The following is a 26921-nucleotide window of genomic DNA, read 5'->3' as shown; positions in this document are numbered from 1 at the left end:
TATTATTTTTGTAATTTTTGCAGATAGAGGGTCTTCTTATATTGCCCAGGTTGGTCTTGAATTCCTGGGGGCTCAAGTAATCCAACTGCCTCAGCCTCCCAAAGTGCTGGGATGACAGGCACGAGCCACCATGCTCAGCCTATTTCCTGCATTTTCATACCCTCTAACCTGTACTGTTTTACCATCTTAAATATCTTCCCCTCCATCTTCAAGCATGAAACTTTATCAAGGGAAAAATTAAATGTTACATACTTTGAGTTTTCAAGTCTTCCCCTATACCCCAGCCAAAAGTGGATACTTGTTCAAACTTCCTCTAGCAATAAATGAATAAATGATCATCTCTCAACTCAATTACTGCCATAATACCCTAATTGTTCTACCCACCTCCAGTTTTGCCCTATTTTACACTGTCTCCAAGGTCAGTCAGTGTGGTTTTTTTCTAAAGTGCAATTGTGATTATGTCATTTTCCTGCTTAAAAACCATCTATGGCTCCCCCATTGCCATTTACAGTTAAGTGCACATACGTGACTTAAAAGTGCTACGTTTTCCAGCCTTTACTCTTCCACTAACATCTCCTGAAATACACTTAGCTCACACACACTCTACCTCTAACCATATGAATGTCATTCAGTTATTTAAACAGCAAGTTCTTCTCTTCTCTTACACTTGAGGTCCCCCAACTTTCTTCACTCTTTTGATAATATTCTTTTCCCCCTTCTTTGCCAAGTCTCACTCATTCTTCCCAAGCTTAAACTGTGATCTCATCCATCCCCTAGTAGCATGGCACATTTCCCAATTTACACTACTCATCACTGCCTGTGTACATGTTTTTGTCTCTCACTGGATTATGAATTATACTGGCTGAGACCCTTAGACTTTCTTATTCACCATTGTGTACTCAGTGTCTGGCACAGTGCTTGATACGTAGTTTGTTTATGCACAGTTACTGACAATATGGCTGTCTTAATAGCTACAACTTTTAGTGTATTTGCTGCAAAAAAAAAAAATCTTTGTAGTTTTGTTCAAGAGAAGGCCTACCTATGAGACAAAAATCTATTGACTTGCCTCCCTCTCTAGTTAGCTAGGCAACTATCTATCTGATCTGAAACTTAGACCCTAGAAATAGAAAAGATTATTGACAAATGTTAACAAAATATAGTCTTTATGTCATTATAAATTATTTTAAAGTGGGCAAGCAAGACATGCATTTAAATAACTGAAACATTATTGGTAATGAGAAGAACGCTGGAATAAGAATCAAAGCACAAAAACATATTCCAGATCATTCCACCAATGGACTCTGAGAAGACAGACAAGTTGTTTCATCTCAATGAATCACAGTTTCCATTTCTGTAAAATAGAGGGTTTTAACTAGATTATCATTAAGGTGCATGTTATCTTTATAATTTTATCATTCCAATTCTACTATTCAACTTGATGGTAGCTAAGATTTTAAAAATCATAAATGTGCCTTTTTTTCCAACTCTTATCCTTTTCTGGTTCCAATAATATTCTGGCTTCCACTATTAAAAAAAAAGTAAGAAATATCCTTTCCAAAGCTGAACATGTCGTGTTAGATTTTACCAAGCTTATCCAAGCCAGAGAAGACATATCAAGCAGATATGATTAAATGATCAGTTCAAATAAGAAACAGTATTTTAATTGGCATTTGTACTACTGGTCTAGTAGAACCTGGAACCCAGGAGAGCTCTCTGTTACATCTCTTCATTTAGTAATATTTTAGATATATTTAGCAGACAAGACAAATTCAGCTTGTTAGACTGAATTCCAACAATATGCAATAACTCAATTAAAACCAATAGATCAGTGTGCTACACAGCATGGGACATAGAAAGTTCAAGAACAAAGCCTACCCTCAATTTTAGAAAACTGGCTTTAAACACTTAAAAGACCTGACCTTTTGCGTAAAAGATTATTGTAAAGCACTACTGTTATACAATCTACAGGCTATAAAACATTAAAAATCTTAACTGAATGAATAGAATAAATCATATGAGTTTAACAAAGCTTTGCACAGAACGTAGAAAAATTAAAATGGAGGGTAATGAAGGATTTTTTTAAAAGGCCACTGGGAAAAATGTATAGCAAAGCAAAAATAGAAAAAAAAAACTAGATAACACATGCTGAAACATTTTTGGAGCCGATAATGCTAATCTGAATAAATACACACACACACAAAGAGGCTACATCATTTTCCTTCTACATTCTCTAAGTAGTGCTGCCAAATACAGAAGGATTGAAGCCATTTCTGGGGAACTGCTGAATCAGGAGCATGAGTCAGAAAGTAAACCCTTAGTGAAGAAAAAGTACTAAAATAGTGCTGAAAGCTCATACACATACACATACGTTCAGTTCATAAGGTCCAAACCTTCTCTAGTCATCAAAGCACTATGCATTCATCCCTTCCCACACTTACCCTCTCATATTCATGTGTGTTTGGGAGAAAATTTTGTTTCCAAGGAACCAGATTTTACCTGTATCTAAATGGTAAGGTATAGCACAGAGTCGGTACTACATGTGAATAAGAGGGCTCTGAAATATGAACAGGACATTTTCCAACTTAAATGACAAGGAATCTGAAATGAAAATAAAGTAAAATAAAATTGAGGGCTTAAATTATATTAAAAATTAATTTAGAGTCATATGGAAAAATCGCTTGACAGTAATTTAAGGGAGACTAAGATGTTCTTTCTTCAAAAGGCTTTAAGATCTAATCATCCCTCTAAAATGGTCTAGACATAGCTCTTCTCTGAGGTGGGCAGCAGGAATGGATCAGAACTAGAGCTACTCTTAGGCTTATGAGTATATTTTTGACATAAAAGGCTAAACAAATACACCCCATATGTAATCACCACAGTTAATAATATGCTTCAAGGGTAAGTCACCCCTGGACAACAAAGAATTGATGGTCTTCCTTCCTTCCCTCCCTACCCTGTCCCAAGAGGATATTTTCTCAATATTCTGATGGCACTCTGCTTCCACCATTAATAAATATTAAGATGTTCCAGTTCATAAAATAACTTCATATTATTTTATCTCATTGAACATGTATTTTCAATACTGCAATAATAAGTGCAGTTATGATTTTCTACTGGAATTTGAGTGCTAAGGTCACTGCTATGAATCCAGCAGGTCAAATAATCTTAGTTCTTTTTCAGACAGAGCCTGGGGCATAGAAATAACAAAGTTAAAACTAATCAAATTGAGGCAATGTCAAACTAGGCCTAAAATGTTTATTTGTCAAGAGAGACTCACTCTGTCTGGACCTCAGCCCTTATCCACTCATTATCATTACCTCTTAAAAGCATATTTCTATTTAATCTCTGTTAACTTTGGAAAATTTTCCCCAGAAAAGGAAGCCCTCAAATAGTTTAAATGACTAACAGCCAGTGTTAGCCTCCGTGTAAAATTATGAAAATTGTCATTTTGAATTTTGCTGTAAGCATAATGATATTCTCTCCCATGAAACAGTAAATAATAGCACATGGTGTTCTGGTTTCATGAGTGTGTAGCAGTTTCAAGGATCAGAATTCTCTCCATCAGTGAGTGGCACTAACATCCTTGCATGGCATTTATATTACATCTTCACACAATGTTCCACAATAAATATCACATCTTGTTCTTGGTTATGGTAATGAATAGTCATGCATTTTAATTCATACTCTTGATTTTCACTGTTTTCTACCCACATTAATTTTCATTTGGCTACATTGATCGGCACAGTCTGAATTAACAAAGATTCACCTCCGAAGACTTCAGAAATTTAAAGGGCTATGTTCTCTTCCAGTTTTACCACATGCCAATGGCTTAGGTTAAGTCAAGCTATTGCAGTTGAGTAGTTAATTCAATAAATACTAGTGGCTTTCCTAGTTGCTAGATGGAGGAGTCCTATACTTTAGTGCTTTTACTAAGAATTAGTTGTGTGTTTTTTAAAAATGCACATTTCCTGGACCACAAACGTCAGACATTTTAACACTGTAAATCTAGGTGAGGGCACACAAGTCAGCATTTTAATAAGAATCCCATGAGATTATGATACAGGTAGTCCCAAGACCTCATCTTGAAAAAACTCTGGAAATGAATTAGTGTAAATTGTGCAGTTCCTTGTAACTGCACTATGACGCATCTTAACCAAATCTGCTTGTCCCCCAATTACAATTTTCCTGTGCTTACATTTAAAAATTAACTAGATTATCCATAAGGCTTGCTGACTTCCTTTATCCATATAAGTCTAGATTATGACAAAGGTAGTGTCAACCGTATTTCAACCCACTTCACATTAGTATGGTAATTCACCCATACCAGCCTCCCACACAATTAATGAAAAATGTCCACTCTAAGATGTTAAGGGCTGTGTTAATTAAATTTTCTATAAAACACTGCAATGAAAACCATACAGAAAATAACGTATGTGCAAATATTCTTTTTACGTATTTTTGTGATTTCAGTCTTGACAAAAGTAAAGTAAGGAAATGGTGGAATACACCAATCCTAAGTGCAAAAAGACATTTCACTATCAATAGAGTAAACTTCTCAATTAAATTGAGGCAGGCAGTTAGGAAGGCTGATTTAACATTCTCAGACTGCTGAGTAAGGTGACCATCCCAGTTTGCACAGGACTTTCTTGGTTTTAGCACTGAATTTCACATGTTCTGGAAAACCTTTCAGCCTCAGGCAAACTAAGACAGTTGTCACCCTACTTCATGCTTCAATATTTAAGTATTATTTTCATAAGTCTGCAGAAAATTTCTACAATTACCTATCAAAAGAAAATAGTAAAGTAGGATTTTATTTAGGAACTCCTCATAAAAAGTTGCTTTAGATTAAAAAGGAATGTGTGGCCTCAAAAAGTTTGAGTTTTGACCTATGAATTACTGATAAGATATATCTTAAAGAGAAATAAATTCACAATTAAGCAATAAATAACAAATATATAACAATAGAAATTTCCAGGAAGAACCTACTTTGAGATGTCCAATCTATACAAATCCATGTGCCATTAGTTTTTCCTGATAAGGTAGTAAGTCTTCTAAAACACCAACAATTAATTTAAAAGGAATCAGCAATCTGGGCGGAAACAAGGAAACTAGAGAGGTAAACATGATACCCCTGACTTAGATATGGCTATAACAAGAGTGAGGAGCTCACAGGCTAATGACCCAGAAACTGCAATTACGAAGGATAAATAACATTTCCAATGGTCAGTAGAGTACTACCTCACTTACCATAACACTACGTAGTTTGCTGATCCTGTCTTTTGACAGATCACTAAAAAGTTATGATTAATTATAATTAATAAAGCTAAACATTGTCAAATCATTAAGAGAGGAAAATTACAGGTACACCTCAATTTTTCACAAGTGGAGCTTCTACTTTATGATATATTCATTAGAAAATTCCTAGCTGTTTTTCACTAATCAGGAAAAGAGTCAAGGGCTTGATAGTGCTGTTTTATTTATCATTCTTAATTTATCATTTTTATGTATTTGGGTGTCTTGGATTTTTAAGTAGCCTACAGAACTTCGGGAGGAAGAATCCTGGGCCATTTTTCCCTAATCACAAGTAACATCTTGGAAACCAAGGGCTTTTTAAATTATTTTAAACAGTCACAGGTTGCTGAGCCAGACAACTTCATGAAGGACCCAATTACCTCTGGTCAAGCCTATTGTAACAGCTTAATAACTGGGCTGTCTCCAGTCTCAGCCGCACATCCTCCACCTGGAGCCAGAGGCATCTTTCTATCACACCAATATGATCATGGTGTTCTCTTACTTAAAATCCTTCAAGAGCTTTATGGCCTGCAGAATTAGGTCCAAACTGTTATCCAGGGCTAATTCTAGGCTCATCTCCAGTCAGTTCCCCTAGACTTGTTCTACACTCTCATCATACCAAATTATTTATGACACCCCTAATAAAATGAATCCTAAGTGCCTGCACTTGTCTCTGGCCAGAAGGCTTAGCTCCCTCTACTCTCCTGCTGAGCTTCTGCTTCACTTTCAGGTTTCAGTTCACACCATGTTCTCAGGAGAGACTTCTCGGACCTCCTTTGGAAGAAATCCATTAGGGACCACTCCTCTAGGTCCCTGCTGTAGCCTAACTTAACATTCATTTGAGTACACAGTGCTAATACTTGATTTAGTTCAGTTCGTTTTTCCCTCTGGACTATGGACTTTCTCCTTAATCAATCTTATACTATCTTGAACCTAAAATAACATGGGTAATCAACAAACACTTACTGATTAATTTCCTGTAAGAAAAAATTCACAAGAGTAAGCTTATAAGAGGAAGGCAACTCTATTAAAATCAGTTACAAATAAAAACAAACAGATCAAATGTTTTTACTAGGTTCTACCACTTTCCAGGATCTATGGCATATAAAATAAGTAGCCATAAACAAAGTCCGTAACCAATATCGGAAGTTTATAGTTTATTCAGAGATGTAGTAAAACACTTGAGTTAAATATAATACAATTATACACATACACATTAAGAAAACATTTTCATAAAAGTATTCAGACTGCTAGAAACATTTTTTAATAATGTGTTAATTATAAGAGCAATGTATGCATAAAAAGAGTTGCAAGCAAATGACCAATATTAACTGACAATTTGCAAAATAAAATTCGTAGCCAATAGAGAGATACAATAATTTCAATCTCACTACTATTAATAATCAAAGAAAAAAAATAATGGGCTAGGCGTGGTGGCTCATGCCTGTAATCCCAGCACTTTGGGAGGCCGAGGCAGGCGAATCATGAGGTCAGGAGATCAAGACCATCCTGGCGAACACGGTGAAACCCCATCTCTACTAAAAATACAAAAAAAAAAAAAAAAAAAAAATTAGCCGGCCGTGGTGGCAGGCACCTGTAGTCCCAGCTGCTCGGCAGGCTGAGGCAGGAGAACGGCATGAACCCACGGCATGAACCCAGGAGGCGGAGCTTGCAGTGAGCCGAGATCGCACCACTGCACTCCAGCCTGGGCAACAGAATGAGACTCCATCTCAAAATAATAATAATAATAAATAATGAAAAAATAAAATAATTATGTCCATTATTAGCAAGGGTATGAGGAAACGGGCACTTGGTAGCAACCCTGCAATATGTATTACAAACCAGCAGATATATATGTGCCTTTACCCAGAAATTCTATCTGCAGAGAATTTATCTAAAATGGTAAAGTTGGTGATAAGTAAATTGAAACTAGGGCCTATAATAGTATTTAACCTTATTAAAAAGTAAATGTCTCAAGATCCAAAACTAGGAGATAAGTAATAAAAAATTGAGATAGATATATAAACTAGCATATAGTAAAGTCATTAAAACTTTACTGGTGTAAATCAGTAATGGTGTAGATCAGTAACTTGACACGAAAGGGATTAACAATAGATTATACAATAAAGCCAGTTATAACATGGCACATGTAGCACAAGAATAATATATCTGAATATAAGCACCTTACTCACAAATGTGTTAACAGTGCGATAGATAAAATTAAGAGTAAAGTTTTATATTTTGCATATTTGTACTTTTTTCTATAATAAGCATGCATTTAATAGCACTTGCATAGTAAAAGTTTTGTTTTAATGAGGTATTGAAGAAAAACTATGGATTAAAGTGCCCAGGGAAGATTCAACAAATATGCCACTCTTGTGCTATATGAGAAAAGGCAGAAATCCTATCCTAGGCAGTGAAAAATGACATGATCACAAATATGGGAGGCAAGAGTGAGCATGAGTGTATGAGCAGTACCATAAGAAGGGCAGCCTAATTTTCTCAATAAGAAATGTGTGTATTTTGATGGAGCAGTCATTAGGGGCTTTGAGTACGAGTATATCATGAAAGTAGTGTTGTACACAAATTTACCAGGCAGTATTTTGCTATCTGTATGCAAACAGAGATCCTCCAGGTACTAAATCCATTTCTGAAACAACTACTGTGATTTAGAAGTACCGTGATGTGGGCTTAAAAAGGAATAGTTGAATTGAGAGTTATTACTAACAGGGAGTAGCAGCCAGGTACCCTGCCCCCTTGGAGCATTTGTAATTGCTAATATTTCTACCTGGAAAGTTCTACTCTGAGTTATTAATATTTGCTTTGCTCAAAATACTGAGTTTCAGCTCAACTATCACCTGTTTACTCAGCCTTCCCTGACCTCCCTACACTCCCAATCCCTCTTGCCTGGCTGCATTTTTTTCCCAAAGCACTTATCATTTTCTAACATTATATATGATGCACTTCATTATGTTTATTGTCTGTATCCCACATTACATAAGTATCCATACAAGGCAGGGATTTTGTTTTGCAAACTGTGTCCCTTAAAGTCTAGAATTGTTTAGCCTACAATACCTGCTCAATAAGCATTTGCTGGATGAACAAATTAATTAAATATAAAAAGAAAAAACAGGGGGCAGGGATAAAATAGCTACCATTAATAGATGTAGATTTTCTGAATGAGGATATAATTTGAGGGTAAGTTGATGACTTGGTATTTGGACAAGGTGACTTTGAATTAAAATACTGACATTCAAGTGGAAAAAATTGGCCTAGAAATTAAATAACAAATAGAAGACCATAGCTGGGGGTAAGTTTCATATCTGGAGATAAAATAAATGGTGGACTTGTGAGCACTTTGTGAGTTCACTAAAAGAAAGGAAATATCTAGACTAGAAAGGAAAAACTAAAAAATATTTACAGGAGCGAGGAGGAGTAGGAAGAAGCAGGGATGTAGGATATATGGAACAATTGAAAAATATAAAGAGAAAGAAAAAAGAGAGAGAGAAAGCGGGGAAAATGTAATGTGTCTGAATTTCAGAAATAACCTTAAATGTATAAAGGGACAAATAAATAATAAGGTTTTATTTTTTTCCAGTAGGAAAGAACTGAAAATATTTCAGAGCAAATAGAAAGGAGTCAATGGGAATTTAGGTGTCAGGGATGCTAAGAATTGGAGCTTGAGTCATAGGTGGTGGAAAGCAATGCATAAGAAACATTTGTAGCTATAAAAGACACAGTTTCGGAAAAGAATAGATACTTTTCTCCACAGACACCAGGAAAGAGAAAGAGAAGCTAACTATGAGAAAAGAATAGAGATAAAGGAATGTATAAAAATTGAAGTGTCTCATTCTTTTTAATAGACTAGGTGGAGAGATGACATGCCAAGGCAGGGATGGGACAGCTGGGACTGGGAGTGTAGAAAGAGAGAAAAGGTCTAAAATAGATCCCATGGGGAGCAGGCCTGAGAGTACAGAAAAGACAATTAAAAAGACTGCCAAATAGCAGCAGAAACCAGATTGAAGTTTGAAAGCATGGAGTTCTAATGAGCCAAATCTGCAATGCTTTGTTTGCCTCTAGCAGTGCTCTCTCTCCTGGGAGAAGTTGCAAAGAGAGCAAGAGTGAGAGGTAACCTCTGTTTTGAAATTTGCTAGATGAGCAAAGATGTAAAGCTTATTAATGAAGAGGCAAGGCTTGAGAGTGAAAATCCAACTCATTTGAAGCAAGGAGGGCAACAAACCTGTGTCTGATCAATGAGGAGTACTTCCAAAAAAGTGGGGAAAATAACATTTGAGTCCTGGGCTGAAAGCTGAAACTCTCAAGAAAATTAGGAAGCTAATTTCTCACTTCCCTCCCCCCACCACTCCTGCTGAGGCCACAGCAATAGGAATGAGCAAAAACTAAATGAAATGAGAAGATTCTTACCACCGGCACACTGCTGTGAATGGAGAAATTGGGTAGGGGTGCTAGGGTAGGAGGGTAAAAGAGGGAAGATAATTGATACAAAAGTGGTAGCTGTCTAAAATTTTGTGCATTTTTGAGGCATCAGAGTGTCTCAGAATGCATTTCCAAGACATTCAGAATGACTAATTTTTAAATTAACTACATGCAACCCACTATGGGTAAAAAGTGGATTTTTTGTTGTTATATACATTTTGAGATTACTAAATTATTACTCTTTCGTATAAATACAGGCTCTGCTTTTTAATGAAATCCTAACACTTCCTATTGCTGCAATAAAACCATCTAGAATGCAGATAGGCCCTTCCTCCTCTCTGACTTCTCACCCCACTCTCCACATGGCTCACTCTGCTACAACCACCTCCACCTTTTTTTTAGTTCCCAGAATAAATCAAGCTCATTCCCAGCTCAGGGCCCTTGCACCAGCTGTTCCACAGCATCTGCCACGCTCTTCCCCCAGACTGGACCAAAAGGGCCTTCTGGATAGTCAGGTCTCAGCTTGAGTGTCCCCTCTTCAGACCTTCCCTATTAGCCTAAAACAGCCTACAGGAACCCTTTATCCCTATCCCGTCACCTTGGTTTTGTTGTTTATTTATTTATTTTTAGACACAGGGTCTCACTGCGTCGCCCAGGCTCAAGCAATCCTTCCACTTCGGCCTCCTGAGTATTGGTTCCCCACGCTCACCCCCCGCAACACAATGTTATCTGATATCTCCCTTATTTATCTGGCTGTTATAGTCTGCCACCTCCTTAGAATATAACCCCCCTGAGGAAAGAAATTCTTTCTGTCCGGGTCACCACTATATCTCTAGCATCTCACATACTTTCAAGGACACAACACACATTCGATACATACTTATCTAATACATGAGTGACTGAAAGATGAAAAGCTGTTTTTTAATGTTAAATATGATAGAAAGTTACATCAGCTAACTTTATTCACAAAGTAGTGAAAAGTTTATTCACAAGATAGTAAGAAGTAAAAACAGTATTCTTGTTCCCTGAAACAATCCCATAAGATCATATTTGTCTTGTTCTAGGCAATACGTATTATGAGAAAGTAAAGTTCATTGTGAATGAAAGGATAAAGGAAGAAACATCCTCAAAGATGAAACCAAATAAATCTCAGTAAAATTTTAAATGATCAAATGGACATAAGAATGTCTTTGTTATTTTTACCAGGCTCAGGGAGGTCTGGAAATATACAGAGATTTTATAGAGTTTGAACAGTGTGGGATTTAATTAGTTAGGGCATACACACAAACAAAATGTCAGATAAATTTTCCACAAAATAAATTCTATAAATTATGAGTAATGTTTTTCTTATTTGTCTTGCTATATTAGATCTAGAAAACAGGTTTAATTAAGAGGTTAAGAGGAAGTGGACTTTAATCTCTTCTCCATAAAAGGCAATCTCTAAATAAGAAATTCAATCTCCAGCCAAGTTTTCACATTTTCTGTGGAAAGTATTGTCTTCCAGCTTATTATTTCTTTTTAGGCAGGAGGGGGAAAATGGTAAAATAACATCTATAATTCTAATAAACAATTTACGTTATAAAACTCTTTACAATCTCATGTAGGATATTATGTACTAACCATGATCCTCTGAAAAATAGGTAAAATTTACAAACAACCTGCTTCAATATTCCCTTAAGATGCCATGTAGGGGCCAAAAATCAAAATAATGAATAAGGATACTGCAGACATTTCCAAATTGAGAGATATTCTACAAAATACCCGGCCTAATTTTTCAAGTATATTAAGGTTAAGAAACACAAAATAATGTTGAAGAACTATAACATCTTCAGACCGTGATTTTATAGAAAAACGCATTCACTCCTAACAAATATATTCAGTATTTAGGGAAAAACAGAAATGAATGAACGGGTAGCTAGATAGATAAGTAGATAGATAGATCTAATAAAACATTTTTAAGGCTGTCAAGTGAAGCAAAAATGCATTAATGTCAGTGATGAGAATAATAATAAGCAATTGGTAAACTATAAGCAGATGTATGAAAGAAAGAACCATATGCCATAAGAAATAAACCAATAAAAATGGCAACATCTGTTTTTAAGCCCTAATACATTACTACTTTAATAAATGAGATGAGTAAAAATGGAAATGTAAAGATTTCTTGGACTACGAGCCTTTATATATTGGTTATACTTTTTATCAATATATGGTATTTTAAAAAATACTATGATATTTCAATTATAAGTTGAAAAAATGAATGGGAGCTTTAAATCATAAAATAGTATGCAGAAATAAAATTTCATATATAGATTAATACATTAAATCTTTTTTCACTGCCCTTAAAATCGTAATAATAATAGTGCTTCAGTAACTAATAATAGTGCTTCAGTTTAAAATACTACAAGCAGCTTTGAGGTGGTTATTATATCATCCTCACTTTGAAGAGAAGGAAAAGAAGCTTTAAGAGAGTAGATATCTTGCGTAAATTTCAGATAGGTGTTATGTGACAGACATGCTAAAATTACAATGACTAGCCTCCCTCTATTACTTGGACAATACTGACTGTTACATAATTGAGGATCTTCCACCTTGGTATAAAGCTTGAATTTATCTGTAGTATTGCCAGTGCTAATTTCTATATTGCTATAGTTTATACATAATCATTAGTATTATATAATTCAGATGATAGTGGTAGAAAACAATTAAAAGCTAAAATATTTATTGTCTTCTCAGTACTTGTAGAAAGCATAGAACTCAAAATACACACATACACATACACACACACACATATACGTATACATACAATTATATGGAAACTACATTATTAATCTCAAACATCCAGTAGCTTCCAAACTAAGCAATGTGTAGGCCCCAAATAATATGCTCATAACTATTGTTTATTTCCTTTGTCAACTTAACTGTCCTCAGAAAATAGCAAATAGTATTTGGGGCATACCAAGTTATATTGGATGTTAAGGAGAAACATATAGCACATAGCTATACAGGAGCAGAAAAAGAAAAAAATATCTTTTTGAAATGAAATTTTGGTCAAGGTTCAGCTGGGGAAATCCGCTGACCCACTTCGATATTAAAATGCTGCTTTAGCACACACAGCACACACAGACACACACACAGGGAATTTTCCACTGAGGTTGCACATAGTGGATATCAAAGCTCTATCAATGACACCCCAAATCACCATCCCCAAGGCCAGAATATGCATGCTGATTTCAGGCTGCTCAATAATTACCCTACTTTTTTGAGCCTTAAATCTTTAAAGAAAAATCATGATTATAAGAAAGTCAAGTTTGTAATTATAATAGAACATCATAATCATTTATAAGAAGTCATCCCACTTTTTTTTTACAGTGAGTGTTCCAGAGTTAATATTATCTATGTAACCATCAAAACAGTACATTTTAATTTTCAAAATGGTATCAATTTAATGTTACAAAGAAATGAAAGGCAAATCATTACTTTCATTATTGTAAACTCTGAGTCATTTCGCCCAATTCATGACAGGTATTGTGCATATCATATAATGTCATTATGGTATAAAGAAACTTTATGGCATATCTGTTTTTACTCACCAGTTGTTTCCACAATGCCTTCTAGGATGACGACAATCTCGAACTGTTCAGTTTGCATGCTTCGCTGGGATAGGTCATAAAAGGGGCTTTTGGCATCGATCACGTGGCAAATTGTGAGGGGGGACACAAGAAAAAGTTGATCTGCCCCTGTACTAAAACCTACATCCAGTTCAAGTTGGTCAAGGGGAAGGAACTCACCCTCAGGTGTCTGCCGAGACTAGACAAGCACACAGAAAAAGAGAAGAAATCACCACTTGTACTGAAAATTTCAAGGCAGCCCAACAGTAATTTACATCATTGCCAACATTCTGCACTATCAATCATCTGCAACAAAATCCAAACAAATCATTATGCAACTATGTTCTAGCAAATGGGCCGAAATCCCACATAGCTCATGCGGAACATACATGCATTATTTATAATACACAACTTGCTATAATTACCATTCCCTAACTCATGAGCTTTGGAGAAATGCCTGGTCCAACAATGGTTGTTAGCACAAACTGTGGAACTGAGTGTGCATGTGCTGCTGCTTGACAGCAATCACTGCAGGATAACTCATTGCATGCCAGATATTTTTTTTCTCAACACAGCAAATAAATAAGTAGGCAATTCTTATGGAGTGTGTTAAAGCTGACAAAGATTGACCATCATTTTGAAAGAGATTTACTGATTACTAAAAAGCAAAACACAACAATTTATTTTTCAGACTTTCGAAAAGTAACAAACACATATAAAATGGAATAGAAGAGTGAAGATGTTCCCATATTAAGCTATGTTATGTACACAAGAGCTTACATAATAAAAATAAATGGCAGATGTTGTTAGCTAATGGTTTTCAAACTCCTAATAATAAACTGCATTATAAATATTTGCTTCTCTGTCATTTCATGAGTTTTAAAACAGTGAAAAACTGAACTAAACTGAACTTTCTTTAATCAAAATGCAATTTCAAAAAGCTATACCTGAGAAACATAGTTTAATAAAAGGTTTCTAAGGTAGTGGCATTCAGTTTCGGTATAAATCACTCTAAAGCTTAATTAAGTAAATTGCTTGCATGCTAGGGTTCTATGAGAAAATTTAATATGACTATTAAAAATTAGCAAACCATGAGAGTAAAATTACTTATTTCCTTTTATCTTTATTTTCCATATCGGTCACATATAATAATCATGCACAAGCAAACATATACATTTAATTTATGTAATTATGGGGTAAAATAAGGGCTAGGTAGTTAGGAATTAAATACAGAAAAAAATGGGGGGAAGGTGGAGCATACTGCTGGTCAAATAGGACTGATGAATCCATTGTATTCTAACAGATTCCATGTAAAACAAATGTAATAACAAAACAATCTGTAAGACTGGTCTGCCCAATGAAGTGATAGTTTGAAGACAAAATTCTTACTCTCAGAGTTCCAAAAAAAATACATTGGCTTTTTATGTGGAGTAAGTGAGTCTGAAAACACTGAGAAATGTGGCTTAGCAACATGTCCTTTGTGGCAAAACAGAATGAAGGGTTCCAAATCGGTGGTGCTTCATTATGGCAGCAATTGTTGCAAAGAGTTTCAACAGGAGAATTAGTCAACTAGAGAGGCTACTTTGCAGTTAGAAATATTCACGGATATTATTTGTGTAGACAAAATCCTAATGAAAGGGAGACTATTTTTCTTCTCTAACTTGTGTGTGGCTGAAAAAAGAAGGCTATGAAAAAAATGATTACTGACAAACAAATAAAAGAGCCCACTGAAAAATCTGATGGTGCAAAAATTAAAACAGCAGCTCTAGCAACCAATGTTGGAGAAAACTAGGCGTTTCCAAGACAGCATGAAAAAGCTCCCAAAAGAACTTTCTTGAGTGACCTGTATTTCTAAATCTATTCTCAAATTAGTAAAACATAAATGAGACCAACATCTTTCCAACTACATGGTTGTATAACAAGTATTGATTAATACAACAAAATAAATGCCGGACACAAAACAAAATTAAAGCAACAAAAACAAAAACCTTGTGTCATTGTTCTCTCACCTACTAAGAAACAGGTGCTATATAAACACAAGGTGGTATTCTGATGTGTATAATTAATTTGGGTCTTTTTGCTGACCATTCTAAGTTCTGCTTTTCCTGAACTACATGGCATTGTTGACAATAATAATTCTTTTAGAAACTAAATCTCCCATTTATTCTAAAATAATTTTCCCCAAAGAAGATATATTTTCCCAAGTATTATATATGTACACAAATATTAAAATTTGTCTTCCTTTTTCATACATTTGTTATTTATACCTGTGCCTCATTCTAAAAGGCTTTAGAGTAAGCTATTAAATTTTGTATTCCCTAATCATTTAATAACCCATGGATATAAGTGGCCTAGAAACAGGCAGGCTATCAGGAGGATGACAACTTGGAATAAGAAATACTTTATTTTTACCAAAGTAGTTTATTCAGACATAAGTAATTTTGGCTTAAATATGCATATATCTGTTCCATTGAGACTTAATATACCTTCTGATTTTAAATATTTGCTCTATACACTCAAAATTACACCTGTACTCAAAATTACCCTACCCCACCCTCCCACCTCAAATACTTGATATCCTATCCAGGTCTTCCTATTATACGACACTTTGGGAAACATGCTTTCAATGCTCATATATTTTTCAGATAAGTGAAATTCTTTACATATGTATTGAATTCTTTACGTATGTATCCAGTGGATACTATATAATTTAACCTTTCTTTAAATGACAAAGATGCTACACATATTCACAATTTTATTGTCCAGGTCCTTCTTCCTTTATATTAGGCCACCAAATATTTCAACTATTAATATGTTCACCTCCCTGATTTTTTTTCCTTCTTTGACTTTGTAGTAGAGTGAGGAGCCTCTTAATCACTGAAATTCCATAGACTTTGGCTCAGGTCAAAAGTGAAGGGTGTGGTTTTAATGTGGCAGGTGCCTGGAATACTACAATTGTTTGAAGTCTGAGCTTCTGACTACAGCGAACTTATCTTAGCAGTGTTCAGTCACATGCTTTTGATGCTCTCAAAACCTATACATGCTTACCAAATACATTTTCAGAAGCACATACATTCTACTTTAGGCTTCTAAATAATTCTAATCTAGGCTGTCCTAATTCTGGTGCAATTCTGGGGATTTGCAGGAGGAAAAAAAAAGCCTATGAGTTAGTTTTAAATCTCAACTTGTGTAAAAGGAGTGAGAGAAAGTTTGAATGTTTGTTCAAGGAACTGTGATAAATACATGTATATGAAAGTGAAAGAAAAATAAAGATGAGTTATGCATGTGTCTTTACAAAATCAATTTTCTTCTGTAATTTGAGTATATAATAAATTGGCACCACTGATATTTCATCAGTTTCATATTATTTAGCAATTAACTACCCTATTTCACTCAGAAATATTTGATAATAAGCAGAATATTTTGAGATAAAAACCAGTTTGACCTTTCTTCATTGTGTCATGTTAAGCATTATGATATAAGAAACTTTCCACTGATAGAGCAATTTGTTGATGATGCAGTTATCTCCTTTAGCTCAATAAACTTTCTAATTCCCGAGAAAACATAGAACCAGGATCGTTTTCTAGATACAAATGTATAAATTGATATGGTCTAGATCAACAATAATTGAAATTATTTTCAAATTCAAAGCGATCGCTAAAAGTTAAGATTTATGCAGTAAATTATTTAAATTTATAAGAAGTTGATTACTAAGTTTGACTTTTAGTTTATAAGAAAATTATTTAGAATCACAAGAATTGTGGAACAAATAAAGTAAAAAAGAAGTTTAAAGAAAGTGAATAAAAATGATTAATTCTTAAAAATTTAGAAGATAATTTGAAAAAATCCTTGGGTTGAGAATGACTTCCATACAACTTCTACTTTCAATTTTATAGAATCTTGGGAAGGAAATAAAGGTCTTTCCACCATTTTAGTATATCTTGTTGATTGCATTACAAAAAATTCTGGGAGTTATAAAAATTGAAGAAATCTAGAGCTTAAAATTTGTTTAAATAAATTAATTGTTTAAATTAACTGTCCAAAAAATTATAACGTGAACATTAGGTATTTTTTGATAATTCTGTACAATTTTGGTTGTGGCAATAATTTTGAAGTTACTTATAATACAGATGTCATTTAATAATATTTCAATTATTCACATTTTCCTTATATGTAAATGCTCTATGTGTAGAATTTAAGGGTTGTGTCACATTTTATAGTCATTTATACTAATTTCAAAGAAGCAATTCAAGTCAAAGGCCTTTGAACTTCCTTAGAGCCCCAAAAGAGGCCTATAAGATAATCAACTACAATTCTGACTATAGGTGGAAAAAGAATCAAAAGTCACAGGTGCCTAGAAGGGATCATCATTGTCATGTATTTTGCCGACAGTCTTCATATTACAGAGGGCGACTGTTAAGTGCTTATTCAAAGACAGACAGACACACACATACATATACATACATGATCCTAGGATATACATTTAGCACTGCCCTGGCACAAGCGGATCCACATTTGGCCCCCCTCCTTCTCGTGGATATATGGCCAAGTGCCCACATTCATTTGTCAAGGACATATTTATCCAGTACAATCCATATCTTAGCTACCTCTCTCTCTCCCGTCTCTCTAATATGTAACTACGTTCTTTCCTAGCTTGGAGTGAGGCTTAAGGAATTCTGAATAGCACATTAAATCACTACTGTCCTACACTATAGATTTACCTCTATCATATTCTAAAGTTTGATCCATGCCTAACCACCTTTCACAAGTCCTTGCTGGAAAAGGGCCCACAGGGCCAGTGGTCTGGGAAGGAAAGGAAAGGAGGCTAAGACGGAGAGAGCAAGCCATTCTTGCTTACCACCTCCCCACCATTTTATCTGTAATTTCACTTATCCTCTTTACACGTGTAATATGCATTTATGTGTGTGTGTGCATGCTGAATATATGCTGCAGTCATAAAAAAAATTACATGGAATGAGGTCAGGGTAATATCTGGAAACTAACATTGGGAAATGAGCCAAACGCAGGTACCAGAATCAGGAACAAAAGTACCTTGTGACCCAAAGCAGTTAGGGCAATGGCTTTGGTGCCCAGACCAAAATTTAAGTAGTCAGGTGGAGGGGAATGTAGACCTAGAATTTTATTGGCATTGTCTACAATTACATTGTACATTTATTTGGACTCCTTAAGCTTGAAACTCCATGAATACTCAGATGGAAAAACTATGACCCAATGTCAAGTCCAAAATAAGGATTTTTAATGCTGAGCCAATTAACCCACAAAAATATGTTCAATTTTATGAAAAGAACATTTCTTACAGAACGCAATGTAATTTATTTTATAATAGATTATGTGAGGCTTTCATACCATTCAAATGAAAGAGCGGCTTTATAACTCCTTGAGGGCCTTTGTGGCATTTATAATAATTGAGGACAGGCTTCGTAACCCTACTTGCACATTTCCTCCTACTCGCCAAATACCCTCCAATCTATTAAATGCTTTTTCCTGCTTCGCTTTATCATTTGTTCTTACCTACTGCTGTTTATTTATGGCTCTTTATGCCCCTAATTTCTGTTCACTTTTTATTCCCTGAGCACAATCCACCCTTTACTTTTCAGGAATAATATTAAAAATAAAAAACAAAACTAAACAAAATATATTACCACTATTTTAAAAAGAATAATAATTATATATTTTTAGAAGCCAAGTTCTATACTTATTAGAGAATTAGTATACTTGTGTCAGAGAAAGAAAAACTAGACTAAATAGGAACTGTGCTAATTTTAAGGATAAAATGAATCTACCTGAAGAACTCACCAACCAATACAGGACCTAGCTCCTGAGCATTCTGAGGTACTCAGCTTTAGACCTCTTGAATATTTTTACTAATGGCTTAGATGATGTTCAGAACAGGGCTTTTACAAATATAGACATTCATTTGTGGATTTTATTTTTGGAAAGGGAGGTAAATAATTGTCTCGTGATTAAAAATAAAGTTCAAATTGGCCACGGTCAATTGGTGAAGAGTCAGTTATAAAATTAAGATCATACTGAGTCAAAAACATAATCACATTTCAGTGCAAGATATAAAATGAAAGCAAACCTATAAATATATGAGAAAACTGCAGGAATCCTGTGATTCAGGAATCGTTGTGGTTAGATTAGCAAAATGTTAGGACATATATGGTCTTTCAGACCACCATTTTTTTATTGCATCTGCACTTGATAATAGTCATATGGAGAAACAAGACAACATCCAATTTGGAATATAGATATATATATGGAGGATATGTATACACACACACACACACACACACACACATATATATGGAGGATAAAAGAAGGTGAGCACAAAAATAACATATGTGATGTTAGAAGAGGAAAGGAATGTACTCTATTACCTTTTGACAAGTGAAAGTTAAGGATTGCACAGCTGACCTCTTAGGAAAGAAAGAGGATGCCTATTGGCAATAAATAGAACTATAAAGAAGTAACATTATGCTTCCAGAAAATTAATCCTTACCTTTTTGTTTCAAAATATGAATGCAACCATAGTTTATTTTATGTTTACTTTATGTAAAAAATGTGTGCTGACTGGATGAGTATAACCATATATATGATGGCATTGAGATAATAAATTTGTAATTTCTCGAACAGTTATCAAAGAATAGTAATTAATTCTTGCCCTAACAAGTTGTATGCCTAGGTCTATCAACCATTATTATTAGGTTGGTAGAAAGGGGTAAGTAAGACTTCCAAATCCTTTAAACCCAGCACTAAACTATAGGGTTCAACATTACAACTACTGGTCTCAAATCCCTAATCCAGGCATTTTTATAAAAACTTTCGATTGGATGACATATTAACTTAGCATAGCCATGATACTAGTTAGTCCTTATTTTCTGGGTAAAACAAAAAGAGAAAAGAAGATAACTAAAATAAATGGAAAATTCAAGTAAAAATTCAATATGGGGAGAAGAGGAAGAAAGAATATTCATCTTAAAAGAGCTGTCTATAGCTATATTTATAATTCAATCACAGATTTTAATGAGGAACTTCAAACTATAGCCTTTGATTTTTATGTAATCTACTTTCTCTTTTTATGAGTAGAAAAAGGACTGACCCCTCCAGGCATAAAGTTGAAAGATCTATATTTGACTACTGAAAGATATTTTAGTGTTTGTAAGGCTGGAAGACAGGAATAGAGATGAGATAAAATGTGCTTTCAAATAAGTGAAAAGCATAATAAAAATTAGGCAAATAAGTTTTACAAAAAACTTCCATCAAAAGTTAGGCATTTAAAAACTATTATACATGAGAAATTTCATAACAGAAAGCATTAGAAAGCCATGCCCATGTTCTTATTGTCTCCCCAAGAATCAAAAAGTGCTTTATAATTATTAAATAGAAGTTTTACATTTATCTAAAGAAGCTTTTATTTAGCAAATAAGAAAACAGTAATAGAAAAATTAGTAAATTAAATTAGGTAGTAGGAAAAGAATACATGCACTATAGTTACTAGCATTAAATATTATACTGGATTTTGTTGCCTTAAAAATTCTACACATTCTGCATTAAAGACACATAAATTTTGCATTTAAATTGTTAAATGGAGGTTAAAAGGGGGAAATTGTGTGTAATATTTAATCAGAATAATGTATAAAACTGATAGGGACATATTATTATGCCAAGATTTTGGTATAGCTTCTATTTAAAAATACAGTTGACTGTTTTAGGTCACTTAATCTCAGTTCTTAAGAGAAAATGAGAGCAACTTATTAAAGGCAAATCTCCCCTCTAATTTTGCTGAATGTTATTATTTCCCCAATAAAACATGACTCCTTTTTAATGAAGTCTAAGGAATAACAGGAACTACAGCAATTCATTTAAATTACCATGCCTACAGGAAAGATTAACTTTGAACAAGCTACGCTAACTGACTAGTTGAAGAGCTACTCACAGATCAACTCTCTCCCTTCGCCATGGGGAGAATTTCACCATAATTTTGTTTAAATATAAATTGATGCCACAGGTAAATCGTGTTTACTTCTAGCACTGACATCTTCCTAACAAATCAAAAGTAAAAGACTTTATAAGAATATTATATGTATTGTTTTAACTAGATGTTTTTATCACCTTGTGTTAATATAGCACCTTGCTCCAAATTTGTCGACACTATACATCTTTCATCTTTTTAACTAGGATACTCTTTATGGTATATGTGGTACATTTCCTTAGGCAGAAAAATTATTATCAGTACCCTGCACCAGTGTAGAGACTGAGTGCTTCAGAATCATTGTACCTTTGTATGAAGAAAATAAACAAAAACTAACATATAGGTTAATTCTAATTATGACTGGCTTTGTTGAAATAAAATGTAATAAAATCTATAAACATCAAAAATATGTTGTCTGGAAAAGACATCTGTAATAAATAACCTTAAATGTTTAAAAAACTAAAGAATGTCTATAAATAACCTTTAATGTCTAATTGTCAATTTCCATTACATCAGTTAATATTGTAAACTACTCTTCAGTAAGTCTCAAAGTGATACATAAACATGGATTGCTTGAACAGAAACCTTGCCACTATACTAACAAAGTATTTCTATCTGTCTAGTAGGCCTAACCTAAAGAAGCAGGTGCTATATTGTGGTCTATGCAAAGCTAAAGACACATACAGTTACTATTGTAATAAACATATCTACAACACAACTGCCCAGCTTGATCTGACAAACTGCTTGGTTCAAACAGCGGTCAATAACAATACACTAAGTTAAATTTTAAAAAATTGTATGCAGTTCATTGAAATTAATTATATATGAATATGATCTACCCAAATTATTTATTCATAGTTAATGAACGTTTACATCAGAACCAGGTTGATAATTTTCCACTGTGGTGTACAAAATGTAGTTTATTTACTGTATGTAGCACAGTAAATATGCATATGATATGATGTGACAGGACAAGTGAACTGCTTTAATTTAAACACTTTACTGAGCAACTTGGTCAAGGATAATTATGGTAAGATCTTGTAAGTGAATAATGAAAATGACACAAGAGCAAAACTTTTTAAAAGCACATTGGATCCCTTTTAACTACAACATTAAGTTGGGGCTGTGTAAAACAATATATACTTGTGGATTGGAAATTGAAATTTCAAAGGCAAAATCTCAAATATTGATCAGATTTTCATTTTATTAATACTAAATTCAGACTCTGGCTTCAGTTCTCTACGCAACCTCAGATAAATATTTTTCATTGTACGAACTATTTATTTAAGGTCATCTTTTTCAATTTATGGACATCTGAAAACTACTAAGACAAATCCCTCTAGGGAAAAAAATGAATTGTAAATCACACACAGAGACAAACAACTGGGCTTTAAGCCTTCCTTCCCATACTCTAATTGGATGAGTGATTAAGAAGGACTTCTCTTGTTTGTGGTGGTGCCCTCTAACGACTAGACGGACCTTGCTTTAATAACCACTCCATGTGCAATTTGTTTTAGCATTTACACCGTTGATGGTAGGAAGCAATTCTTCTTTAATGGATGCTGAAAGCTTCAAGTGAAATCTGTAATTGACAAAGGCTTCACAGAAACAGGCAATTAAGAATAAAATTAACAAGAGGCTCTACAGGAAAAGCACTCAAGCTTTCAAAGAATACTTCTCCAAGAAAATATTTAGTAAAAATAAAAATTTAAAAGAACCAAGTGTGGTTTCTTCCACTTTACTATCTGCTTCTTGTATCTGTGTGTTTGTTAAAAAGATGACCATAGAGTTAAAGTCATTGGGTCCAGAGGAGTAATCCGCCTCCTAATATTATTAGGGGGAAAAAAAGGAAAGAAAAAAATAAGAAAAGCCCATCGTGAAAGTTGAGGCAAGTTCAGCACCTATTTCTTCAAAATAACAGCTGTTCAGTTGAGTTCTAGTACCTCGCATTGAATGGGGTAGTGTGTAGACAACAAATAAAATCGCTCTGAATAGCGAAGCAACAGGGACAGGAAGGCGAACAGGGCACTAATTGCCCTCATGGCTCCAGGAGCCAACAGCAGTCCTCACGTGTTACTAGTCCAGTAAGTGATACAAGCAGATCCGAAATGACGAATATAAACAAGAGCACGAGAGTGAGTGGAAAAGGAACAGAACTGTCAACCGCATTCTTTGCCCAGTCCTCCAACCCCCAACCCCCCAAAAGGAAGTTTACCTGTGGCTATAGGTAGAACCAGGGGAGGGGGCCCGGGCTGGTTCTCAGACGAGTTACTCCGCGGGTTTGGGGGACGCAGGTCTCCCGGTGGGGAAGGGGCGGGGAGCACTTACTTTGAGCAGCTTGCAGCGAATCTGCGCGGAGACCATGTGGCTGTTGCGCAGGTTGCCCACCCGGAACATAAGCGTGAGTTTTCCGTCCCTCATGGAGATCACCGCGTGCTCGCTGAACATGAGGGTCTCGGCGCGCTTCTTGGGCTGGGACATCTTGATGAACATGCAGCCGATGAGGAAGGCGTCCACGATGGAGCCCAGGATGGACTGGAAGAGGAAGAGGATGATGCCCTCGGGGCACTTGTCTGTGATGTATCGGTAGCCATAGCCGATGGTGGCCTCCGTCTCGATGAAGAAGAGGAAGGCAGAAGGGAAGTTATAGACATTGGCCACGCAAGGCGTGTAGTTACCGACGTGGGCTTTGTTCAGGTCGCCCCGAGTGTAGGCGATCACCCACCACATGGACGCCATGAAAAGCCAGGCCACGGTGTAGGTGAGAATGAAGATGAAGAGGTTCCAGCGCCACTTGAGGTCCACCAGCGTGGTGAAGAGGTCCGAGAGGTAGCGGCTTGTCTCGCTGCCCAGGTTGCCGTGCTGTACATTGCACCGGCCGTTCTTGTCCACGAACCGCTGCCGCTTCTTCTTGGGCACAAGCTGCTGCTGAGGGTCCTGGCCTGGCCCCTGGGGCTGCAAGCCCGAGCCGCTGGACGATGTGGTCACTACCTGATAATCGTCCCCAAATTTCCTTCGGAGTGCAGACATAATACGAAGGGGCGAGCCAGATTCAAACGCGAAGCGAAGGCGCAGGAGCTGGGCGCTGCAAACTAGCACCAATAAGGAGGTGGGGGCGGGGGAGGAAAGGGGGCGAAGCGAGCGCTCCTGGGTGGGGGGCGCACCCGGCAGGTAGCTGCGGTCTCTGCCCCCTGCAGACGCCTCTCCTTCTCCCCTGGGACGGAGGCCTTCTTTCCAAGGTGAGTCTTTAAAAAGTGTTCTCCCGCACTCAAGCCAGGAGGGATGCAAGGAACAGGAACCCAAGCGCAATTTTGCCTCCAAGCTTCCAGAGGCTCCTCTTTTCTTTCCCCACCACCGGCATCCCGGGTCACCTCTTGACTCCCCACGGCCCTCCTGATTATCCTGCAGTACCCCCAAACTGACTGCTTAAAATTAATGAGTTGACAAGCGAGTCCCAACCCACCTGCCAACTCGCTGGCTGCCTAAGAAGCTGCCTTTACCTGCCTGGACCAGACCCTCCCCCCTCCCCGCCGCTCCCCAATCTCCCGCCCCCTGGGACCGCTCCCCGCACCCCCGGCGCACCTGTCTCCTATCTTTTAGCCAAAATCCCGCCCAAAGGCATGTCTGCCGGGCACTGGTGCAACGCCCCCTACCCACGCCCTCCGGGCTCAGATTCCCGGGTTCCGGACTCCAGAGACCTGTCCGCCTGGCGTCCCCCGACCGCCGAGTTTCCGCGGGCGCCACCGGGGCCCTCCGGCGGACCCTCAAGGGCCCGCAGGCCGCCCCCGCGCTCAGCTGAGACACGGCAGTGCGCGAAGCCTGGGCACTCACCCAGCGGGAGAGGGCAGGAGGCGGCGCAGCGGGCGGTAGCGGCAGCCTGGCCTCGCACTCTGCGCTCACGGCTGTTTTCCTCGTTCCCACTTTTCCTGGTGTACCACGATGGGCGCCAATGCAGGTCCCCCAAGCTCCGCACCTCCCTGAGGGCACCGCGCTGTCCCTGCCAGAAAGATCCTTGGCGCACAGAGCACAGAATGACTCGAGCGGGGGCTCGTGGGTTCCTTGGCGCTGTGCCCTCCTTCCAGGCGACAGCGGTGCTGCTGGACGGGGTTCGAGCCTTGGGCTGCCGGTCAGACTTTCAGGTTAAACAGTAGCGCCGCTCTAGCTTTTCCTCTGCCTCTTCCTTCTTCGGTCCCCCACTCCTTGTCAGCGCCTCGGTGGCCCCGGGTGGAAGATGCGAGGCGCAAGCCGGGGCAGCAGGAATGTGGTGTGTGTGGTGGTGCGTGTGATCAGCTGCAGAGCCGCGCTAGCCCCGCCTGTCCCTGCCTTCCCCCGCTGCTCCACCAGCCTGAATTGCACCTCCGAGCCTCAGTTGAGCCTGCAGTGTCTGGCAGCTCAGGAAAAGCGAGCCCCTCCAATGAGAAGCGGCTCTAAATCTGCTCCCAAACGCCCGCCAACTCTCCTTCCTCGCCCCCTGCATCAGTCAGAAAGCCCCCAGTAAAAAGCAAATGCTGCTCTCTGAAGGAAGAGAAGTACAATATGTCTCTGTAACTGGGCACTCGTTTAAACGGATGCCTGGATTTGGGGTTGCATCATAAACAGAGATCCCAACTGGCTCTCAGATAGGCATATTCAGAACTCAAAGTTGCAGGAAGCAGGAGGGGCCTTAGGATGAGAACAGAAAGGAGAGAAACACTAATAGAAATCCTTTCTGCAAATGGCTCTATTAGAAAGGCTCAGAATATCTAGAGTTAATGTGTGCCTATAATTGAAGGAAGAAGGCTGGATTTTAATGGCCTCAGCCTGGCAGTTAACTTAATGGAGGGGCAAAGTGCAGAAATAGCTAATAGAGTGCCCATGAGTAAATACCAGCTTGTTTACCACATTTCACGTTTGCTTTAAAATGCCATGGTATCTTAAGGCATATTTCAGTCAGCCCAGATACATGAAGTTGATTTTGTTGGAAAATCATCAAATCATGGCATTATAAAAGCAAAAGGCTGCTATAAGATTCCCATGGAAAGGAAAATAAGTACATAATTACTCTATGCATTCTCTGCCAATAGGTACTCCTCTCTACCTCTCTACTTATAAACCAACTGCAGGAAAGTGCATGTCAGGTTGTCAGCCATAAGCAGGGGACTCTCACTGTTATTTGGTTAAAACATCTATCCTCAGTTACAGATGCTTCTCCTGCCAGTTCGCTGATAAAAGGTCAGTAACTATCTGTTTGTTCTCTTAAAATTACATAAGAAGGGAAAGTGACACCGTGGGAAGTGGAAACTTCTCTGGTCCTAGAATCATAAGACCTGATTTGAGTCGCGTCTGTGCCATTTACAAGCTGTGTGACCTTGAGCAAGTAGCTGAACAACTTTGAGACCTAATTTTCTCCCCTGAGAAATTGGGAGTTTGAACATTTTCCTAGTGTTGGTATGAAAAAAGAGAGTAAATGTGTTTTTTTTATTTCTGCTATGAAGGATGTTATATAGTGGGCTATAAAGTTGCAACAAGACCAAGAAGAGATTACAAATGAGCTTTTGGAGTTGGCAGCATGCTGTGAACTAACACCTATACTCTCATCTCATCTCTGA

The 26921-nt window shown here is 37.0% G+C and overlaps 1 protein-coding gene across 4 annotated transcripts in view; it reads right to left on the bottom strand.

Annotated features, from left to right (window-relative positions):
- KCNJ3 (potassium inwardly rectifying channel subfamily J member 3) overlaps positions 1 to 24444 on the bottom strand; it is a 159660-nt gene extending 135216 nt beyond the window's left edge. The window contains exons 1-2 of one of the 4 annotated variants that reach the window (NM_002239.4): positions 23662 to 24444; positions 13320 to 13536 (exon numbers count right to left, since the gene is read on the bottom strand). In NM_002239.4, the coding sequence (NP_002230.1) occupies positions 13320 to 13536; positions 23662 to 24363 (919 nt within the window). In that variant the 5' untranslated portion in view covers positions 24364 to 24444. Of the gene's footprint in view, positions 1 to 13288; positions 13537 to 23547 lie in introns of those variants that run through there. The other 3 variants (NM_001260509.2, NM_001260508.2, NM_001260510.2) reach the window with 3 other exon arrangements.
- Between the last annotated feature and the right edge of the window lie 2477 nt (positions 24445 to 26921).

This window comes from Homo sapiens, chromosome 2 (assembly GCF_000001405.40).
Source record: "Homo sapiens chromosome 2, GRCh38.p14 Primary Assembly".
Classification (NCBI taxonomy): domain Eukaryota; kingdom Metazoa; phylum Chordata; class Mammalia; order Primates; family Hominidae; genus Homo; species Homo sapiens.
The sequence above is the reverse complement of the archived record's forward strand: the minus strand, read 5'-3'. Positions and strand labels throughout refer to the sequence as shown.